At 40.6% G+C, this 21589-nt stretch overlaps 1 protein-coding gene across 1 annotated transcript in view, besides 3 other annotated features; it reads left to right on the forward strand.

The window, feature by feature from the left end:
* Positions 1 to 21589, forward strand: part of HEPHL1 (hephaestin like 1) — a 92855-nt gene that overhangs the window by 64398 nt on the left and 6868 nt on the right. Inside the window, exons 11-17 of the mRNA NM_001098672.2 lie at positions 226 to 438; positions 3004 to 3217; positions 7750 to 7889; positions 15444 to 15584; positions 17163 to 17269; positions 18777 to 18999; positions 20240 to 20379. Of these exons, the coding sequence (NP_001092142.1) occupies positions 226 to 438; positions 3004 to 3217; positions 7750 to 7889; positions 15444 to 15584; positions 17163 to 17269; positions 18777 to 18999; positions 20240 to 20379 (1178 nt within the window). The remainder of the gene's footprint in view (positions 1 to 225; positions 439 to 3003; positions 3218 to 7749; positions 7890 to 15443; positions 15585 to 17162; positions 17270 to 18776; positions 19000 to 20239; positions 20380 to 21589) is intronic.
* Positions 2933 to 3491: an enhancer, noted in NCBI's record as "H3K4me1 hESC enhancer chr11:93821850-93822408 (GRCh37/hg19 assembly coordinates)". NCBI's record gives its function as "activates a minimal SCP1, AML or CMV promoter by ChIP-STARR-seq in naive H9 embryonic stem cells {active_cell/tissue: H9 hESC(naive)}" and the evidence as "EXISTENCE:reporter gene assay evidence [ECO:0000049][PMID:30033119]".
* Positions 3492 to 4048: an enhancer, noted in NCBI's record as "H3K4me1 hESC enhancer chr11:93822409-93822965 (GRCh37/hg19 assembly coordinates)". NCBI's record gives its function as "activates a minimal SCP1, AML or CMV promoter by ChIP-STARR-seq in naive H9 embryonic stem cells {active_cell/tissue: H9 hESC(naive)}" and the evidence as "EXISTENCE:reporter gene assay evidence [ECO:0000049][PMID:30033119]".
* Positions 20023 to 20604: an enhancer, noted in NCBI's record as "NANOG hESC enhancer chr11:93838940-93839521 (GRCh37/hg19 assembly coordinates)". NCBI's record gives its function as "activates a minimal SCP1, AML or CMV promoter by ChIP-STARR-seq in primed H9 embryonic stem cells {active_cell/tissue: H9 hESC(primed)}" and the evidence as "EXISTENCE:reporter gene assay evidence [ECO:0000049][PMID:30033119]".

The raw sequence follows: 21589 nt of genomic DNA on the forward strand, positions 1-21589 counted from the left end.
GTCCTTGCATATGTGTTGTTAAAGATAACATTTAAATAATTTCCTTATATTTTCATTATTCATTGTTAATTTTGGTCTCCATTTTAAGTGGATTCACCATGTGGCTTTTCCCTGGTACTGTTTATTCTCTGAAAACAAGGATCTTTTGTAAACAGTTTACATATTTGAAGCTCCCCTGCCCCATACACACTGATAATTTTTCACCGTCTTTCTTCTTCCATTTAGCTGTTAACGGCTACATGTATGGCAACCAGCCAGGCTTAAACATGTGTAAAAGGGATAGAGTTTCCTGGCATCTGATTGGATTGGGCACTGACACTGACATGCATGGAATTGTTTTTCAAGGGAACACCATCCACCTACGAGGGACTCACCGAGACTCCCTGGCCCTGTTTCCCCACATGGCCACAACAGCATTCATGCAGCCAGACCATGCAGGTAAACTTGCTGGGTCCATCTCAGGTGACCAGATTTCTACCTTCAGGCTCATCCTCTTAGAGTTCTCCCACAGAAGAAATTGGTAGACTTTGTGCACTTCAAGTGGTGTAGAAATAGATATAGTCTTGATTAGAATCAGAGAATCCTGACTTATTAGTCCAAACACATAGTATAAGGGACAAAGGGGAAATATCTAAAATAGCATCCACAAAACAGAAGTGGGAGCCTTCTAAAGTCTTTGGTGCATAAATCCTAGGAGAATGTTTTTGATTCACAGTCCATAAAAATTCAGCCCTGATAAAGTGGATATGTTTTGCTCTCATTGAGCATGAACATAATTTCAGTTGCTTCTCTGAAGCATCTACCAGGCATGGACATCCCAGTGGATGCTTCCAGATTACAGATGTAGCCATAACTGCAGCCTGGTCTCTCTTCTGTAGGTACTGATAACAGCCTTTTGATTGGGGGAATTCTCTGTTTTCATTCTGTTGGGCACCCTTGGTTTCCCAACAGGGCAAGCTGCATTGGATCTGGAATTTATGGAGACCCCTGTATAATGCCAGTACCTGGAACTTCTTCTCTTAGAGATTCCAAGCTAATGAGATAATTGGGGCGTTTTCATAAAAGATCTAGAGCAACACGTGGTAGCACATGCTAATCACTGCATGAAAAGTGAGGAGAACAAGCCCTATAGACATTGAACATGTTTTTCCAAACCAATTTTTTCATCAGTCTTAACAAGAAACCAATATGCTACCTAAGATGAGTACTTGCTGTTTACTAATGGATGTTCTACTTCTTTGCTTTCCACTGGAACTGCAGTTTAGATGTCTCTGTGTCATCAATTAAGAACTTGAGGCTTGGGCTTCAAAATCTTTGCCTAAGGACTGCCTGAGACTAGGAGCTCCATAGTCTTTTCTATGTGAACTTTTCCTAGTGTCCAGTCTCTGTACATTAGTATAGTTGATCAATTATGAATTACTCAAATCAAGAGATGCCTTGGACACAACTTTTTTTTTTAATACGCTCTTCAAGACCAAAGAGAGGAGGGGATTGGGAAATAGCCAAATCATTTTAATTCATAGAAATAGGCACTCAAAGTTAGAGCTGCCCAGAATAATTTTAGAAATGGAGCTACTTATTCTAGTGCTTTGATCATTACTCCATGTGTCCTATACATTTCTAAAGAGCTTCACAACAGTGTTTTCCAGTTTATGTTTGGTGATAAGCATAAATCTGTGACTGCTTAAAAGCTTAGTCATTTCACCAATTCCTGTCCCTTACCTATAAGTCAAGAAGGAGGGTGCTCAAGAGTGGGTAGAGTAGACTATATGCTGCAACTCAAACATTTCCATGTTCTTCTATTATTATTATCATTATTATTAGTTTTGTTTTCTTCTTCATGCTACCTTGTCTAAGATCCTCTTTGTTCTTAGAGGAGACAATTCCTCAACTATTGAAGTGCCATGATCAATACATAAAAAATAGGCTTCCTGGAAAAAACAAATGTAGGGGACAGTCTTTCCAAGTCTGTCTTCAAAGGTATCTTCTCTGTGGTTTCATATAAAGACCCTTCCTCATGTGTCCTCATCAGTGCCTGGGTGTGCTTGGTACCCATTGAATCAACCCATTGAATTTTTGCTCATCTAAAAGGAGTAACTAGGCGATGTTTAGACAACAGAGTTACATGTATAGCAAGATAGAGGATACCTCTGTACATTGTAGAAGGTTAATGAAAGGTACACTCATCCCTCACCTCTAAAAACAGAGGCTACTAGAGAAAGGGGAGAAAGATTTATTGATCCAATATTTTCATTGAGAGTTAATATCTTCAATAATTTTATCTGTCTTATGTGATTTTATGGTGAGTTAAGAAATATCTATCTGATGCCAATGCATCTAGAAAATTCAATCTAAAAATTACATAATTTTTGACAGACAGGATTGTCAGTATTATGTAGAAAAATCTAATTGATTGTTTTTCTGTTTTCTGTTTCCTTTTCATTTAGCATAATGTAGACCTATCATTGGAAATGAGAAACTTCTTTGCTCAAGGGCTTAATGAAGTAATACATTTGGCTTTAATAATAATAACACTTACATATTTATTGCACTTTAGAATTTATGAAATCCTTTAGGGCAAAATACTCATCAGAAATATGGCTTAATTTGAACCTTGTCTAGGATAATCATCTTACAGGTAATTAGTTCTTTTTAAACTGGGCTGGACTAAGACAGTCATTGGTGATTTTCCAGGACAGACTGTCTTCTAATAGGTGTGAATTATATGGGAGACCCAGAAAAGTCATTTCTTGGTAGCAATATTGTAAGTTTCTTTTTTTATAACAAATGAATTTTGGACAGTATCTTTCTCTCCACAGAAGTAAATATATTCAAAGTAATCTATACCCCCTGGGGTCTGATTTTAAACTACTAGACAACTGGTATTTTAAAAATCCACCTAACTGGTTATTTTGTAATAAAATATGCAGGTTTGCTAAAAACAGACCATCACCAACAAAAATACCGAGCACCACACTCAATGCCGAGCCATTTCTCTTGCAGGTATTTTTAGGGTGTTTTGTGCCACCATGCCCCACCTCTCGAGAGGCATGGGTCAGATCTATGAGGTCAGCAGCTGTGACAACAGGGACCCTTCTGAGCAGCGGTACGGGATGATAAGAACTTTTTACATCGCCGCTGAAGAAGTAGAATGGGATTATGCCCCTAACAAAAACTGGGAGTTCGAAAAGCAGCACGTGGACGCAAGAGGGGAAAGGTACCACAGGCGCCGCCGCTAGGGCTCCTCGGTGGGATCGCGCATGCTCCGTAGGTCTTTAGTAAGTGTGGCTCCCTGCAAATTCCCAGGTTGTGTCTCCACAGTTCCGGCCGACAGAGACTTTTACTTATGTGCACAGATTAGGGAAGCTGCCCACCTCGGCCTCCGGAAGGCAGCGTGCGGTGTCTCGCAGGCCCTCGGCGGGCTCTGCTGGGTGGTCATGGGATGCAGGGCGTGCCTGGGAGTGCGTGTGCAGGGTGAAAAGGCTGAGGGAAAGAGGCAGATCACATGGTTATAGTGGGGCTGGGAAGACAAAAAGGGCCAGAGAAGGCAGAGAGGGTGTATGATGTGGGGTGAGAGGATGGGCTGCTGTGGATGCAGGACCTCAGGAAAGGTTGAGGCTGAGCCACTGGCAGAGCGCTGCTCTAAGTGGGGGACCACCAAGGAGGGACAGGAGGCCATTGCCTTGTAAGAGACTCCGGGATCGGGGTAGGAAGAACAGGTTTCTCTACTAGGCCCTGTGCCCAGAAAGTCTGCAAGACTGGCCCTCCCTTAACAGTGCTGTTGGCCAGTGATGCATGCCCAAGACTCAGCAGCTCTCAGGCCGCCAGCAGCCTTGTAAGCATTGCTCCTCCAGGGCGCTAAGCCCAGAGTCCAGGAACCAAGATCCCTAGGGTGCACTGGGATGGAGTTAAACAAGGGAGAAGGCAGGCGCAGACCACAGACCTCCTCCCCCAGGGCTAATCCCCTCCCTCCACAGCAACCCACTGCCTGGTATTACTGTTCTGATATGCAGATGAGGAAACTTGGACGCAAAGAGTTAAGGCGCCCAACTAGACATTGGCAGAGTTAGAACTGAACATAGATCTTTTGAAAGACAAATAAATCCACGTTCTCTCCGGCACACTACATTGTCCCTCCTGGCCCAGTTCCTCTTTGTTCTTTATTGCCACCTACCCTCGCCCCCTGCCACCATACTCCCCTCCCCTCACCTCATAGACATCCTCCGTGGCTGCGAGACAAACACGACATGCTACTGTTCCTATCTTAACACAAGTATTTCTTTTCTTATTTATTGGCCTTTGTTTTGAGGGGCTGTACTTATGGAAAAGAGATTATAATGGTTCTACCTTCTGGATACTTTTTTTTTTAAGATTTCCCTTAAGAACAGGAGAATTTTAAATCCATTCAATTACTCACTAACCTATTTGTTAGGCCAAACACCTGTATTCTGCAAAACTAGTGCTGCCAATACAAGCTGAAGACTGGTGCTGGTACAGTGGAAAATGAAATGAATTCCAATCTGGCCCTTTCTAAAATGATTATTTCATTAAAAGGCTACCATAACTAAAGAAATAATTGTATAATAACTTTGTCATGTGTACAATCTTAGCCCATGAATGTATAAAAATATAGCCTTTATGATGTTCATACAACTAATATGAACTCCTACTTTAAGTCTCCATCCCACGGGGCTAGCAGGAAGGTCTAGCTTCAGTCTTCTGAGACTCCCTCCCAAGTGACATAAGGAGATAAAATGTGCTGGTGGGGAAGGGGGTGCAATGCCATAATTACACCTTCCCCTGTCACTCTGATTCTTGCCCATACATAGATGAAAGCAAAGTGAGATAAGGACAAGTTCACATGTTCAAAGTTTAACAAATGCTGTAGATAACAATTCAGTATGGAATTGAAATGGCAGTTCTCTTAGGGCACATCTGAGGCATGTCTGTAGATAAGAGCCCAGTGACACATACCCCTTCTGCACCCTAGTTTCTATGTGTCTGCCCTTTGTCCCATGGCCATGGTAGGAGCCCATCTGGTTTTTGAACCATTTGTGGGTACAGGCTATCCCTGAGACATTTATTATCCTGGTCAGCACAGGCCCTCTGCCCCACCTTGGGACCTAGAAGTCTTTCTTTGGGGCTTCCTAAAACATGCTGGGAAGGTCTCAGCATCCCAGAAAGCCAACAAATGGGACCATCGGTACAATGTCCAGGGGAAGTTTATGCAGTGGGAGGAAATTTGAAAACAGAAATTAAGTTGCTATGAAAAAATAAAGTTGTATTCCTAGTACTCCTGAGCTTGTAGACTGATAGGTGTGTGATTTAGTCATCCTGAGATTCTCCACAATAAACCACTGCCTATTGAGCAGCTACTGTGGACCAGGCATTCTGCTAGGGATTTTACAAACCTTATCTGACATAACCCTTACAACACACCTGACCTACTCCACCAGTTTTTGCTCAGCATCTCTTGCACCATTCTCACAAGATGATGAAAAAGCAAGTGCTTATATAGTGCTGAACATGGGCCTGACATGTGCTTTACAGATACTGACTCACATGACCCTCATATCAATTCCATGAGGTAGAGGAATTATTATCAGCCTGGTTTGCAGTGGAGAAAGCTGGGAAACGGTGGAATGTGGCTACAGGTTCTGCACTGGTCACTACCACATGTAACTGGGTCTCCTGAAAAATGAAAGTAGAAGAAAAGTTCTCTTCCCTTGGAAATCATACAGTCTAGGGTGGAAGTATACATGCATTTATTAAATACCTACTATATGCTAGACATTGTGCAATGTGCTGGTGAAACAGTATGGAGGATAGACAAGGTCCTTTCCCACACAGAATTCCTGGTCCATGGTAAGACTTTAGAACAAGTATGTTCTATGAGAGGGGAAGGGTAGAGTGCAACAGGAGATATGGCAGAAGCACACAGCCCTGTCTTGAGGAAAGGTAGGGAGAAGGTTGGTAGTCGGCGGGGGCTTCTGGGAGGAAGTAGTCTTTGAGTTGGGACATGAAGAGTAGTCCACTTGAAGAGGAAGGAAGCATGTTCGTGGCAGAGGGAACAACCTGTGTAAAGGCCTGGAGGTGAGGGAGAGCACATCATGTTCAAGAGAGTGAATGTTTAGAATGACCAGAACATAGAGCCTAGGGGCTAGTGATGGGAAATGAGGCTCAGGAGGTGGCAAAAGCAGACAGTGAGGCTTGAGAGCCAAATTGAGGAGTTTGGCAGTGGGAAATCATAAAAAGGCTTAACATCAACGTTGTTAAATGTATAGCTTAGGATCCCTCTGCCTGCAGTGTGTGAATAGAGGGCAAAGAGGAGTACAGGTGGCAGGGAAAATGATTAGGAACAATTCCACCCAACCTAGGTAAGTATTACAAGTGGCTGAGATAAGAATGAAAGCTCCCTCAATGGAAGGGGTGGGTCTCACTGTATTTTAGAGATAAAATTAAAAGATTTTAAAAATCTGTCTTTTGTGATGATCTGCCTTGGTAATAGATGAAATGTACTATACATGTAAGGTACGTATACAGTCTATCCTCGTTATTTGTAGATTCTGCTTTTGCAAATTTGCCTACTTGCTAAAATTTATTTTTAACCCCAAAATCAATTCCTGTGACATTTTTGTGGTCATTTGCAGGTACATGTAGAGTGGCAAAAAATTTACGTTGCTTGATGCACACATTTTCAGCTGAGGTCAAACAAGGAGTCTCTCTGCCTTCTTGTTTCAGCTCTCATACTGTAAACAAATGTCCTTGTTTTCAGATTATTTAGTGCCATCGTTTTTGCACTTGTGTGCTTTATGTTGGTGCTTTCACTGTTTAAAATGCCCCCTTAAACAGAGTTTTGAAGCAGTGTCCTCAGTGTAAGAAGCCTCTGATGTGCCTTATACATGTGAGAGGGGCTTTGTTCCTGCATGAGTTACAGTGCTGTTGGCTGTTGAGCTCAGTGTTAATGAGCTCAACAGTGTTAATGCTGTTGAGCTCAGCAATATATATTAAATAAAGTGTGTTTAAAAAGAAACAGACATAAAACAAGGTTATATATTGATCTGTTGATGAAAATATTGTGACCAGAGGTTTGCAGGAACCTAACCCTATATTTTCCCTAGGAACAATGGTTCAGTCTTTATTAGTCCAGTTATCACAATGACTTTCTAGAACATAACTAGGGTGAATAACAAGTATCAACTGTATCTATCTATATTTGTATATGGATGTATACACAATACATGACTATGGTCCTTCTTGAGATCCTTCAAAGTGGAAAAGCATTACCATGTACAGAAAGATGCATATGAAATCTGGAGAAACTCAGGGTGGTAGAGGGTGGACGTGTATGTGTGTGTGTGTGTGTGTGTGTGTGTGTGATGACACACACATGAAGATGCAAGTGTGTAAGGTTAGATGGTCCCAGAAGAGAGGCGCAACCTCAAAGGATACTTAGGAGTCTCTGAGGTTGGCCCTACTCAGTGCTTAGCAGAAGATTACAACCGTGATTTCCAAGGGTGGGCCATGGACTGGTGCTGGGCTGCCCATATCAGAACTGAAGGAGCTTTAAAGTGCAGATGCCTGGCCTCACTCCCAGAAAGTATGGTGCAAAAGGCCTGCTCCCCAGGGAGCACTTGATCACAGCCAGGTTTGGGGAGCACTTCTCCAGAATACCCCTGAATCACTTAGAAGCGCTCAAAGCTTTTCTGCTTTCTGACAACTTTAATTTCTGATGCTTCTGATTTGCAGACATGGAGATATATTTATGAACCGCACTGAAAATTGGATTGGCTCTCAGTACAAGAAGGTGGTTTACAGGGAATATACGGATGGAGAATTTGTGGAGATCAAAGCCCGACCACCACGAGAGGAGCACTTAGAACTCCTGGGTATGGCACAGATTTCAGGCGTGCACTGTCAGCCCCAAGCATGTGCATGCACACATACTCATGTGTTCTGTTACACTTGTGGCTAAGAAAGGATAGAAGAAACAGAGTAGCTTGACTGCATTCCTCCAAGTGTAATATCTTCCTGCTCTACCATTATCAGGGAGTGTGCTGAGTGCTCAACTCATACAAAAACTAGTCATAATAGGACTACCAGATAATACACAAATAGGAATCCATGACATCAGGGCAGTCTAACTGGTGTATGATACCCTAAAGCTTCTTTCCAACCCCTATACTGAGCCAGGAAATTTTCTTTTAAATCCTCCAGCAGATATATATATATATATATATATATATATATATATATATATATAAAACTTTAAGTTCTAGGGTACATGTGCACCACCTGCAGGTTTGTTACATATGTATACATGTGCCATGTTGGTGTGCTGCACCCATTAACTCATCATTTACATTAGGTATATCTCCTAATGCTATCCCTCACCCCTGCCCCTACCCCACGACAGGCCCTGGTGTGTGATGTTCCCCTTCCTGTGTCCAAATGTTCTCATTGTTCAATTTCCATCTATGAGTGAGAACATGTGGTGTTTGGTTTTTTGTCCTTGCGATAGTTTGCTGAGAATGATGGTTTCCAGCTTCATCTATGTCCCTACAAAGGACATGAACTCATCATTTTTTATGGCTGCATAGTATTCCATGGTGTATATGTGCCACATTTTCTTAATCCAGTCTATCATTGTTGGACATTTGGGTTGGTTCCAAGTCTTTGCTATTGTGAATAGTGCCACAATAAACATACATGTGCATGTGTCTTTATAGCAGCATGATTTATAACCCTTTGGGTATATATCCAGTAATGGGATAGCTGGGTCAAATGGTATTTCTAGTTCTAGATCCTTGAGGAATTGCCACACTGTCTTCCACAATGGTTTAACTAGTTTACAGTCCCACCAACAGTGTAAAAGTGTTCCTATTTCTCCACATCCTCTCCAGCACCTGTTGTTTCCTGACTTTTTAATGATCGCCATTGTAACTGGTATGAGATGGTATCTCACTGTGGTTTTGATTTGCATTTCTCTGATGGCCAGTGATGATGAGCATTTTTTCATGTGTCTGTTGGCTGCATAAATGTCTTCTTTTGAGAAGCATCTGTTCATATCCTTCACCCACTTGTTGATAGGGTTGTTTTTTTCTTGTAAATTTGTTTGAGTTCTTTGTAGATTCTGGATATTAGCCCTTTGCCAGATGATTAGATTGCAAAAATATTCTACCATTCTGTAGATTACCTGTTCACTCTGATGGTAGTTTCTTTTGCTGTGCAGGAGCTCTTTAGTTTAATTAGATACGATTTGTCAATTTTGGCTTTTGTTGCCATTGCTTTTGGTGTTTTAGACATGAAGTCCTTGCCCATACCTATGTCCTGAGTAGTATTGCCTAGGTTTTCTTCTAGGGTTTTTATGGTTTTAGGTCTAACATTTAAGTCTTTAATCAATCTTGAATTAATTTTTGTATAAGGTGTAAGGAAGGGATCCAGTTTCAGCTTTCTACATATGGCTAGCCAGTTTTCCCAGCACCATTTATTAAATAGGGAATCTTTCCTCATTTCTTGTTTTTGTCAGGTTTGTCAAAGATCAGATGGTTGTAGATGTGTGGTATTATTTCTGAGGGCTCTGTTCTGTTCCATTGGTCTATATCTTTGTTTTGGTACCAGTACCATGCTGTTTTGGCTACTACAGCCTTGTAGTACAGTTTGAAGTCAGGTAGCATGATGCCTCCAGCTTAGTTCTTTTGGCTTAGGATTGACTTGGCAATGTGGGCTCTTTTTTGGTTCCATATGAACTTTAAAGTAGTTTTTTCCAATTCTGTGAAGAAAGTCATTGGTAGCTTGATGGGGATGGCATTGAATCTATAAATTACCTTGGGCAATGGCAGTATGGCCATTGGGAAATGGCAGTATGGCCATTTTCATGATATTGATTCTTCCTATCCATGAGCATGGAATATTCTTCTGTTTGTTTGTGTCCTCTTTTATTTTGTTGAGCAGTGGTTTGTAGTTCTCCTTGAAGAGGTCCTTCACATCCCTTGTAAGTTGGATTCCTAGGTATTTTATTGTCTTTGAAGCAATTGTGAATGGGAGTTCATGATTTAGCTCTCTGTTTGTCTGTTATTGGTGTATAAGAATGCTTGTGATTTTTGCACATTGATTTTGTATCCTGAGACTTTGCTGAAGTTGCTTATCAGCTTAAGGAGATTTTGGGCTGAGACAATGGGGTTTTCTAAATATACAACCATGTCATCTGCAAACAGGGACAATTTGACTTCCTCTATTCCTAATTGAATACCCTTTATTTCTTTCTCCTGCCTAATTGACCTGGCCAGAACTTCCAACACTATGTTGAACAGAAGTGGTGAGAGAGGGCATCCCTGTCTTGTGCCAGTTTTCAAAGGGAATGCTTCCAGTTTTTGCCCATTCAGTATGATATTGGCTGTCGGTTTGTCATAGATAGCTCTTATTATTTTGAGATACATCCCATGAATACCTAATTTATTGAGAGTTTTTAGCATGAAGCGCTGTTGAATTTTTTCTAAGGTCTGTTCTGCAGCTATTGAGATAATCACGTGGTTTTTGTCTTTGGTTCTGTTTATGTGATGGATTACGTTTATTGATTTGCATTATGTTGAACCAGTCTTGCATCCCAGGGATGAAGCCCACTTGATCATGGTGGATAAACTTTTTGATGTGCTGCTGGATTCGTTTGCCAGTATTTTATTGAGGATTTTTGCATCAATGTTCATTAGGGATATTGGTCTAAAAGTCTCTTTTTTGGTTGTGTCTGCCAGGCTTTGGTATCAGGATGATGCTGGCCTCATAAAATGAGTTAGGGAGGATTCCCTCTTTTTCTATTGATTGGAATAGTTTCAGAAGGAATGGTACCAGCTCCTCCTTGTACCTCTGGTAGAATTCGGCTGTAAATATGTCTGGTCCTGGACTTTTTTTGTTTGGTAGGCTATTAATTATTGCCTCAATTTCAGAACACGTTATTGGTCTATTCAGTAATTCAACTTCTTCCTGGTTTAGTCTTGGGAGGGTGTATGTGTCGAGGAATTTATCCATTTCTTCTAGATTTTCTAGTTTATTTGCATAGAGGTGTTTATAGTATTCTCTGATGGTAGTTTGTATTTCTGTGGGATCAGTGATGATATCCCCTTTATCATTTTTTATTGCGCCTATTTGATTCTTCTCTCTCTTCTTCTTTGATAGTCTTGCTGGCAGTCTGTCAATTTTGTTGATCTTTTCAAAAAACCAGCTCCTGGATTCATTGATTTTTTGAAGGGTTTTTTGTGTCTCTCTCTCCTTCAGTTCTGCTCTGATCTTAGTTATTTCTTGCCTTCTGCTAGCTTTTGAATGTGTTTGCTCTTGCTTATCTTGTTATTTTAATTGTGCTGTTAGTGTGTCAATTTTAGATCTTTCCTGCTTTCTCTTGTGGGCATTTAGTGCTATAAATTTCCCTCTACACACTGCTTTAAATGTGTCCCAGAGATTCTGGTATGTTGTGTCTTTGTTCTCATTGGTTTCAAAGAACATCGATTTCTGCCTTCATTTTGTTATGTACCCAGTAGTCATTCAGGAGCAGGTTGTTCAGTTTCCATGCAGTTGAGTGATTTTGAGTGAGTTCCTTAATCCTGAGTTCTAGTTTGATTGCACTGTGGTCTGAGAGACAGTTTGTTATAATTTCTGTTCTTTTACATTTGCTCAGTAGTGCTTTACTTCCAACTATGTGGTCAGTTTTGGAATAAGTGCGATGTGGTGCTGAGAAGAATGTTTATTCTGCTGATTTGGGGTAGAGAGTTCTGTAGGTGTCTATCAGCTCTGCTTGGTGCAGAGCTGAGTTCAATTCCTGGATATCCTTGTTAACTTTCTGTCTCATTGATCTGTCTAATGTTGACAGTGGGGTGTTAAAGTCTCCCATTATTATTGTGTGGGAGTCTAAATCTCTTTGTAGGTCTCTAAGGACTTGCTTTATGAATCTGGGTGCTCCTGTATTGGGTGTATATATATTTAGGTTAGTTAGCTCTTCTTGTTGAATTGATCCCTTTACCAGTATGTAATGGCCTTCTTTGTCTCTTCTGACCTTTGTTGGTTTAAAGTCTGTTTTATCAGAGACTAGGATTGCAACCCCTGCCTTTTTGTTTTCCATTTGCTTAGTAGATCTTCCTTCATCCCTTTATTCTGAGCCTGTGTGTGTCTCTGCACGTGAGATGGGCCTCCTGAATACAGCACACTGATGGGTCTTGACTCTTTATCCAATTTGCCAGTCTTTGTCTTTTAATTGGAACATTTCACCCATTTACATTTAAGGTTAATATTGTTATGTGTGAATTTGATCCTGTCATTATGATGTTAGCTGGTTATTTCACTCATTAGTTGATGCAGTTTCTTCCTAGCATCGATGATCTTTACAATTTGGCATGTTTTTGCAGTGGCTGGTACTGATTGTTCCTTTCCATGTTTAGTGCTTCCTTCAGGAGCTCTTGTAATGCAGGCCTGGTGGTGACAAAATCTCTCAGCATTTGCTTGTCTGTAAAGGATTTTATTTCTCCACTTATGAAGCTTAGTTTGGCTGGATATGAAATTCTGAGTTGAAAATTCTTTTCTTTAAGTATGTTGAATATTGGCCCCCACTCTCTTCTGGCTTGTAGAGTTTCTGCTGAGAGATCCGCTGTTAGTCTGATGGGCTTCCCTTTGTGGGTAACCCGACCTTTCTCTCTGGCTGCCCATAACATTTTTTCCTTCATTTCAGCTTTGGTGAATCTGACAATTATGTGTCTTGTAGTTGCTCTTCTCGAGGAGTATCTTTGTGGCATTCTCTGTATTTCCTGAATCTGAATGTTGGCCTGCCTTGCTAGGTTGGGGAAGTTCTCCTGGATAATATCCTGCAGAGTGTTTTCCAACTTGATTCCATTCTCCTCGTCACTTTCAGGTACACCAGTCAGACGCAGATTTGGTCTTTTCACATAGTCCTATATTTCTTGGAGGCTTTGTTCGTTTCTTTTTACTCTTTTTTCTCTAAACTTCTCTTCTCACTTCATTTCATTCATTTGATCTTCAATCACTGATACCCTTTCTTCCAGTTGATCGAATCGGCTACTGAAGCTTGTGCATTCATTATGTAGTTCTCGTGCCATGGTTTTCAGCTCTATCAGGTCATTTAAGGACTTCTCTACACTGGTTATTCTAGTTAGCCATTCATCTAATCTTTTTTCAAGGTTTTTAGCTTCTTTGCGATGGGTTCGAACATCCTCCTTTAGCTTGGAGAAGTCTGATCGTCTGAAGCCTTCTTCTCTCAACTCGTCAAAGTCATTCTCCATCCAGCTTTGTTCTGTTGCTGGCTAGGAGCTGCGTTCCTTTGGTGGGGGAGAGGCACTCTGATTTTTAGAATTTTCAGCTTTTCTGCTCTGTTTTTTCCCCATCTTTGTGGTTTTATCTACCTTTGGTCTTTGATGATGGTGATGTACAGATGGGGTTTTGGTGTGGATTTGCTCTCTGTTTGTTAGTTTTCCTTCTAACAGTCAGGGCCCTCAGCTGCAGGTCTGTTGGAGTTTGCTGGAGGTCCACTCTGGACCCTGTTTGCCTGGATATCAGCAGCGGAGGCTGCAGAACAGCGAATATTTCTGAACAGCAAATGTTGCTGCCTGATCCTTCTTCTGGAAGCTTCATCTCAGAGGGGTGCCTGGCCGTGTGAGGTGTCAGTCTGCCCCTACTGGAGGGTGACTCCCAGTTAGGCTACTTGGGTGTCAGGGACCCACTTGAGGAGGCAGTCTGACCATTCTCAGATCTCAAACTCTGTGCTGGGAGAACCACTACTCTCTTCAAAGCTGTCAGACAGGGACATTTACGTCTGCAGAGGTTTCTGCTGCCTTTTGTTCGGCTATGCCTTGCCCCCAGGGGTGGAGTCTACAGAGGCAGGCAGGCCTCCTCGAGCTGCGGTGGGCTCCACCCAGTTCGAGCTTCCCAGCCGCTTTGTTTACCTACTCAAGCCTTAGCAATGGTGGGCGCCCCTCCCCCAGCCTCACTGCCACCTTGCAGTTTGATCTCAGACTGCTGTGCTAGCAATGAGTGAGGCTCCTTGGGTGTGGGTCCATCTGAGCCAGGCACCGGCTATAATCTCCTGGTGTGCCGTTTGCTAAGACCATTGGAAAAGCGCAGTATTAGGGTAGGAGTGACCCGATTTTCCAGGTGCCATCTGTCACAGCTTCCCTTGGTCGGAAAGGGAATTCCCTGACCCCTTGTGCTTCCCAGGTAAGGCGATGCCTCTCCCTGCTTCGGCTCACGCTCGGTGGGCTGCACCCACTGTCCTGCCCCCACTGTCTGACAAGCCGCAGTGAGATGAACCCGGTACCTCAGTTGGAAATGCAGAAATCACCTGTCTTCTGCGTCGCTCACACTGGGAGCTGTAGACTGGAGCTGTTCCTATTCATCCATCTTGGAACTACCCCCTAAGAATATTTTAAGAAATTGAGAGAAAATTGAAAATAATAACCGTCCAACAAATTTTAGATTTATATATACCTTTCTCAGAAAAGCAATTAAAACCATGGCTTGAATCAGCAAGGAATTGATATGTGTGGCCAGACCACCAACTGTCAGTGTATCTCCCTGTGAATGTAGAATGCACCAGATACCCAAGAGAGAGCCATAGGGATCAGGCACTTCTGAAATGGGAGTCTACTGACCATGAAGCAGTGCACAAGTCATGCTGCCACAGGCCCTCTGAGCCAGGTGTGGGCTCATCTCCATTGGCACCCAGCCTGGTTGCTTCCAACAGAAATGCACACACCAGAGGGGCTGAAGAGTGCTTGTCTCCTTGGGTAAACAAATATTGAGAAACAGAGTTAGATGTGCATTTGTGAAGTCACTATATTAATCATAAATTAATACATAAATGATTTTATTTCCCTCTACTCTTTCAGATTCCTTTTACACACATTATTTCATTGGATCTTCATTATTATTGTCATCCATTTACCAGATAATGAATAATTTCAGACTTATCAAAGGTTATACACAGGGGGATTACAACTGAAAGTCACCATATCATGTGGATATGGCTTTTCCTGGAGATGATTTCTCAGTAGTAAAAAAGCATTTACCAAGTACTTATGGTGTATCAGTGCACTGAAGTAAACACTTTTAGATACATTATCTTATTCAACCCTTACTATAATCCCACATAAAAGTTATTACTAAACTGATGTTACAGATGAGGAAACTGAAACTCAGACAGATTACATCACTTACCCAAGGCCCCTCTAATAAATGAAGGAAGCAGAATTTAAACCCATTGCTAAAGACTACATGATATTTAATACTACACAATGTTGCTCTCTAAAGTGGAGTAGAGTTATATATGCCTTTCTCGGAAAAACAACTAAAGCCAAACTATTTTATTTGACTAACTACTGCCTATATTTAAATTACACTAATGTTGAAAGAGCAATAATAATGCACACAGGCCTGTGTTTTGCCTTTAGGCCCAATGATTCATGCTGAGGTGGGCAACACCGTCCTGATCATATTTAAGAACAAAGCCAGTAGGCCCTACTCCATCTCAGCCCAGGGTGTGGAGGAGATGGATAGTGGAAAGCAATTCCAAGTGCCCATGACAAAACCAGGTAAGTTGTGTCAGAGGTCTGCTCCATCTTGAAGAAGAACATTGGCGTCAACTCTTTTCTGGTCTCAGAGGTGTCTTAAAGAGCTCATCTTAATGTCAATGTGTTTCAGCCATCATCTAGTCACTCTGGTATGAGATCATCATTCATCCAATGACCAAATGTTTAGGAATTTCTAGGGTTCCATTAGAAACCTCCATTAGGGACCCCATTGTCAACATCCCCCACCAGAGTAGTACATTTGTTGTAATTGATGAACCTACATTGATACATCATTATCCCCTAAAGCCCATAATTTACATTAGGGTTCAGTATTGGTGTGTATACTCTAAGGGTTTTGACAAATGCACAACAACATGTATCCACCATTTTAGTCCTATAAAGAATAGTTTCACTGCCCTAAAAATTCTCCGTGCTCTGGTGTTTATTTTTTCCTCTTCCTTAACCCCTGGCAACCACTGATCTTTTTACTGTCTCCATAGCTGTTCTTACAGTAGCTCCCCCTTATCACGGTTTTGCTTTCCTTAGTTTTAGTTACCTGAATCAATCTTGGTCTGAAAATATTAAGAAATTTTGAGATAACTTCAATTAGAGACAATAAAAAGATATTTTGAGAGTGAGAGTCTACATTCACATAGCTTTTATTATAGTGTACTGTTATAATTGTCATATTTTATTATTAGTAATTATTGTCAATCTCTTACTGTGCCTAATTTATAAATTAATTATAGGTATGTCTGTATAGGAAAACACATAGTATATATAGGTATGGCACTGTCTGTGGTTTCAAGCATCCCCTGGGGGTCTTGGAATGTATCTCTCCTGGACAAAGGGGGACTACTGTAGTAAACATAAAAATTAACACATTAACTGCCTTCAAAATGAAGCATTATCCTGTGTATTTAATGACATTATTTCATTTAATCCTCACAACAATTAGAAAACTATGATGACCAACCCACTTTACAGATAAGGATACTAAAGGTTAGTGACATTAGGTAGCTGGTCAAATGTGGGATAAATAGGAAGTCATAGGGTTGAGATTTGGAACTAGGTCTCTCTGATTCTGGTTCTCACCAGATCTCACCTGCCCACTTGAGAAGCTTTTAAAAAACACTGGCACCAGAGTCCTAGACCCTAGACTCTCTGATTTCACTGTCTGGGGTGAGGCCTGAGCAGCAAGGGCTTACAAAGCTCCCTGGTGACTCCCATAAGAGGCCAAAGCAGAGGTCCTTGATGACAAAGATGTGCTCAAGGACAGCTCTTGGGAAGGAGATAAAACATTTAAGGAGGAAAAACAGTGAGGTATAAAATGTTTTTATTTCCTGAATACACACCAGTTGACAATAGAAAAATGCAAACTAGAGGGAAGGCTGGAGCCTGAAATGACAAATCTGCCATTTCATTTTGAAATAGTAGAAATCAAGATGGGAGTTTAATAAGAACATTTGTAATGAATGAGTAATTCTCTCCAGCAATAAACATTAATGAAAATATATAAAGACCTGCTTATATTTCTTCAGATAAATCATCTGAAACACAGATAATTCTAATAAATTTTTTCCATTTCATTTATTACAGGAGAAGTAAAAACTTATAGATGGAATATCCCTAAAAGATCCGGTCCAGGGCCTTCTGATCCCAATTGTATTCCATGGGTTTACTATTCAACAGTAAACTTTGTGAAGGTAAGGTGGAGAAAGCAACCAAAAGGCTTAAAATAATTTGGATGAAAGTTGACTACTTGGGTCATCACAATTTGGGTTGGTATATGTGAAAGCGTATAATGATTTAGAGCAAGGGTCTCATACTATGGCCCATTTACGAAATCTAGACATGCTGGACGTTTACATTGTCAATGGTTGACTTGAGTAGCTGCAACAGAGACTATATGGCCCACAAAGTCAAAAATATTTACTATCTGGTGATTTTTTTTTTCCCAAAAAAAAAAAAAAAAAAAAAAAGTTTGGTGACCCTTGACTTAAAGTATGGGGAATAAAAACAAAATCCCAATGTTTCAATTACCAAATTTAGAACTTAAAAAGATAAAAGGTTTGAAGCAAAAGAGGATATGTAAATATACAACAATAAAATAAATATAACTTAGAGTACAATTTATGTATGGTTTTGGATGTGTGAAATCTGTTTATTTTAAATGCATTATTATCAGGGCTACTAGGGCTCAGGAGAAGAAAGTTCACTCTAAACATAGTAACTGAAACTACAAAATTGTTTGAATGATTAATGATCTAACTTTGAAATAAAAGGCAAAGATTCAACATTGAATTTGAGCCAGGTATGTGTATGTAAAACAACCACAGTCTTTAATTACATGCCATAAACCAAAGTCCAATCTAAAGTCGTTATTTGATGTAAAATGTAAGCATTGCCTATTAAAGAAAAAAAGGGAGGGATTATCATAACCTTCCTCTTAGGTATTAGATGGCTTGTATTAATGTCTTTGAGTTATACTGGACAGTTCTAGAGTTCAGGAGATAGAAATACAAGGCACTTGAATAAATAAACTTACATATGAGAATTATGGGAAAATCCAAATTTATTTATGCATCACAACAAATACTTATTGAGCACTTGTGATGTGCAAATGACCCCACCAAATACTATGAGAGATGCAGATACTCTTGTCTTAAAGAAACTTATAACTTTGTGGGAAAATAATATGTCCACACTTGTAACTGTAATAGAGCTCTGAATCTGGTGAATTCTATAGGAGTGGCAGGCTAACTAAAGTACTATAGAAGGTTTTGGAGGGAGAGTCTAGGAAGAAAGAGCATTATGAGCACAGCTGAAAATAGGGAAGTAGAGGGAGTGTTTGGGACATGTTGAGAGTCCCATTTGGCTATCATATGGGGTCCAGTAGTAAATCAAGGGGTAGCCTAAGTCAGAAAATTTCATTAGGGGAGCACATGGAGGGCTCACAGACCTGCAAGGGTTTGTATTTAATTCTGTAGGCCACGGAAAATCACTGAAGACTTCTAGATACGGGAGTATAAAGATTACTGTGATGGTGGTCAACAGGATGGGCTGGAGGTGGGGTGAATCAGAGCTGAGAGAAGAATCAATTTCTAGTCCAGGGTGAGGTATTATGACCCTACACTAGAATGGTGGCAGGTGGAATGAAATATTATTAAATTACTTAATGGCTCTTTTAACTCAGTTTATTTTTTCTTCCAGGATACGTATAGTGGTTTGATGGGTCCTCTGATTACATGCCGAAAAGGAGTCTTGAATGAAAAGGGAAGAAGAAGTGACGTTGATTATGAATTTGCTCTCTTGTTTTTGGTATTTAATGAGAATGAATCCTGGTATCTGGATGACAATATTAAGAAGTATCTCAACAAAGATCCACGAGATTTTAAGCGCACTGATGATTTTGAGGAAAGCAACAGAATGCATGGTATATCCAAAGTTTAAAAAGAAGCCTATGTTGAGATAAGCTCATAGGAATTCCTGTAAATGTAGGAGGCTCCCAGCATCCTTCTCTGAGCCTTTCCTCCTTCCCAGGGGCACCTGGACTGAAGAAAGTCCTCTAATGCTTTCCTTCAGACTGAACCAGCCTAGCCACTGATTGGCTGGCAGCAAAGTCATTGAGGCTTTGTACTAACTTGTAGGGACATGTATTTCTGAATCCTGGGATCTCTAAGCTCTAAGACTGTAAAGTAATTCTTTAAAAACAAATCATCATTTATTGTCATATTTTTATAAGAATATGCCATAACTTCTATTTGTTTAAATTTAAGGGCCAGGTTTAATTGTCTCTGGGATATGAAACACTACCATCAAATTTCTGTTTTAATGTATCTGTGTTACTTCTACATAATTTAAGGTAGTTTGTTGGTGGGAGTAATGTGTTCACATTGACACATCCACAGTTTCTCACCAACAGCTATTTTTGACCAAAAGTGCACAAAAAGGCCTTGCCCAAGGTCACAAAGCTACTTGTTAATATAGATTAGAATATAGTAGCCTGATTCCCCATTCAGCTACTCTTTCCCCTACCAGTTTTGCTTTCTTCTCCTAAAGATGTCTTAGTATGCTCTCCATTTTTAATGAATGCAGGTCATTTGGTTGCACCACAATGCACAGAATCAAAAGTCAGTAGACAGTGGAGGAGTGGGAGTCACCATCATGTAAACTCAGTTTGCTTTGGTCATTGTTAGGTCATGAGCTCAGCCCGTGTGAAGCTCTCTTTTATTTTTGGAGATTCAGCCAGGCTTAAACTATTCTCAACAAGTGAAATATTAAGAAAATACCTTCTAAGTCACTCAATTTTTATTTACATAAACTTGTTTATGCCTTGATTTGTTCTCTGTAGAGTGGTATAAATCTGACTACCTCTCCAATGAGACTGTATTTCCCTTCATAAAGAGATTATGCTGAATAAACAAACAAAACACTGCCACCAAGATACGGCTTTAAAACTGCTATTTCTCTGTTCTCGCTCTCTTTGTAGAAGGATTTCTCAGTTATCTGAATTTTGGGTCTAGAATGGTAGGACACTGCTAGGGGTGAGTGAGATTGTTGCATGTTTACTAGACAGATGAAAATATCAGTGACCTAAAGATCTTCTGGAAACATTTAAAAAATCAGCTTATCTTTTAACTAACCAAAGGTTATTTTCTTATCACCTTTTAAAGCCATTAATGGAAAGATTTTTGGGAATCTCCATGGCCTCATAATGAACGAAGATACAATGACAAACTGGTATTTGTTAGGGATAGGAAGTGAAGTGGACATACATACCATCCATTATCATGCTGAGAGCTTTCTTTTCAAAGTAAGTATAAGGAAAGTGCTTTGGGAAAGACGTTTTTGAACTAACAAATTCAATGTATTTCCAGTGGAAAATAAGAGTTACTTGGCAATAATGCTTGTGAGGATAGGTGAGAATGGAACAGAATAATGTGATTGTACCGTTTCCCTGGTGGATATTTCTTTTCTTTTTTTTTTTTTTTTTGAGACGGAGTCTTGCTCTGTTGCCCAGGGCGGAGTGCAGTGGCACAATCTCAGCTCACTGCAAGCTCCACCTCCCGGGTTCATGTCATTCTCCTGCCTCAGCCTCCCGAGTAGCTGGGACTACAGGTGTGTCCCACCACGCCTGGCTAATTTTTTTTGTATTTTTTAGTAGAGACGGGGTTTCACCATGTTAGCCAGGATGGTCTCAATCTCCTGACCTCGTGATCTGCCCGCCTCGGCCTCCCACAGTGCTGAGATTACAGGCGTGAGCCACCACGCCAGGCCTGGCTATTTCTTAATATGTATATGTATATTATTGTGCTTATAAAAATCTCTCCAAGCCTCAGGTGAGAGTTTTCTCATTAGTGATCTGGGGATAACTCTGACCACCCTGGAATATGCTGTTAATATTGTATATGAAACCACGGACACTGACAGCATTCGTCCCTTTTCCTCACCCTTCCTTTTTTCTTTCCCTTTCCTTCTCCCCACCCTTTTCTTTTTCTGTGTGATTAGCTAACAGAATAGCTCTATCCAGTAAAGGAGCTATTTTGAGCTCTGGCCTAAGCCCTGAAACTTTATCTTGACTTTTGCCCTAGTGAGCTGGGCTGGACCATGTGTGACTTTCTACCCTCTAGCATCAAGCTGTACCATATGGGTGGTGCTCACTGTACAGCAGAGCCATCTGGGGAACTATGTAAAAACCCAACTGCCAGGCCCGACCCAGACCTGCTGAATCAGAATCTCCATGGAAAGGTCCAAATAGTCTGTCATCCGAAGTTCTCAGTGCTTTCTACAAGGAAGTGGAATAGAAAAGAACAATCATATCCAATGTGTGGAGAAAACTGGAATTGATCTTTTCTAGTTAGACACGAATAAACGGTAACTTTAATAAAACATTTAATATCCTTTCTCCTTTGTATATTTCAACGTTGTTTACGACACCAAGTATTAGCCTGCTATGATTAGAGTTTCACATATTAAATGGCTATGCTGCTTTTCAGAATTTGGCTTTTTTAAACTCACATTTT

This window comes from Homo sapiens, chromosome 11 (assembly GCF_000001405.40).
Source record: "Homo sapiens chromosome 11, GRCh38.p14 Primary Assembly".
NCBI lineage: Eukaryota > Metazoa > Chordata > Mammalia > Primates > Hominidae > Homo > Homo sapiens.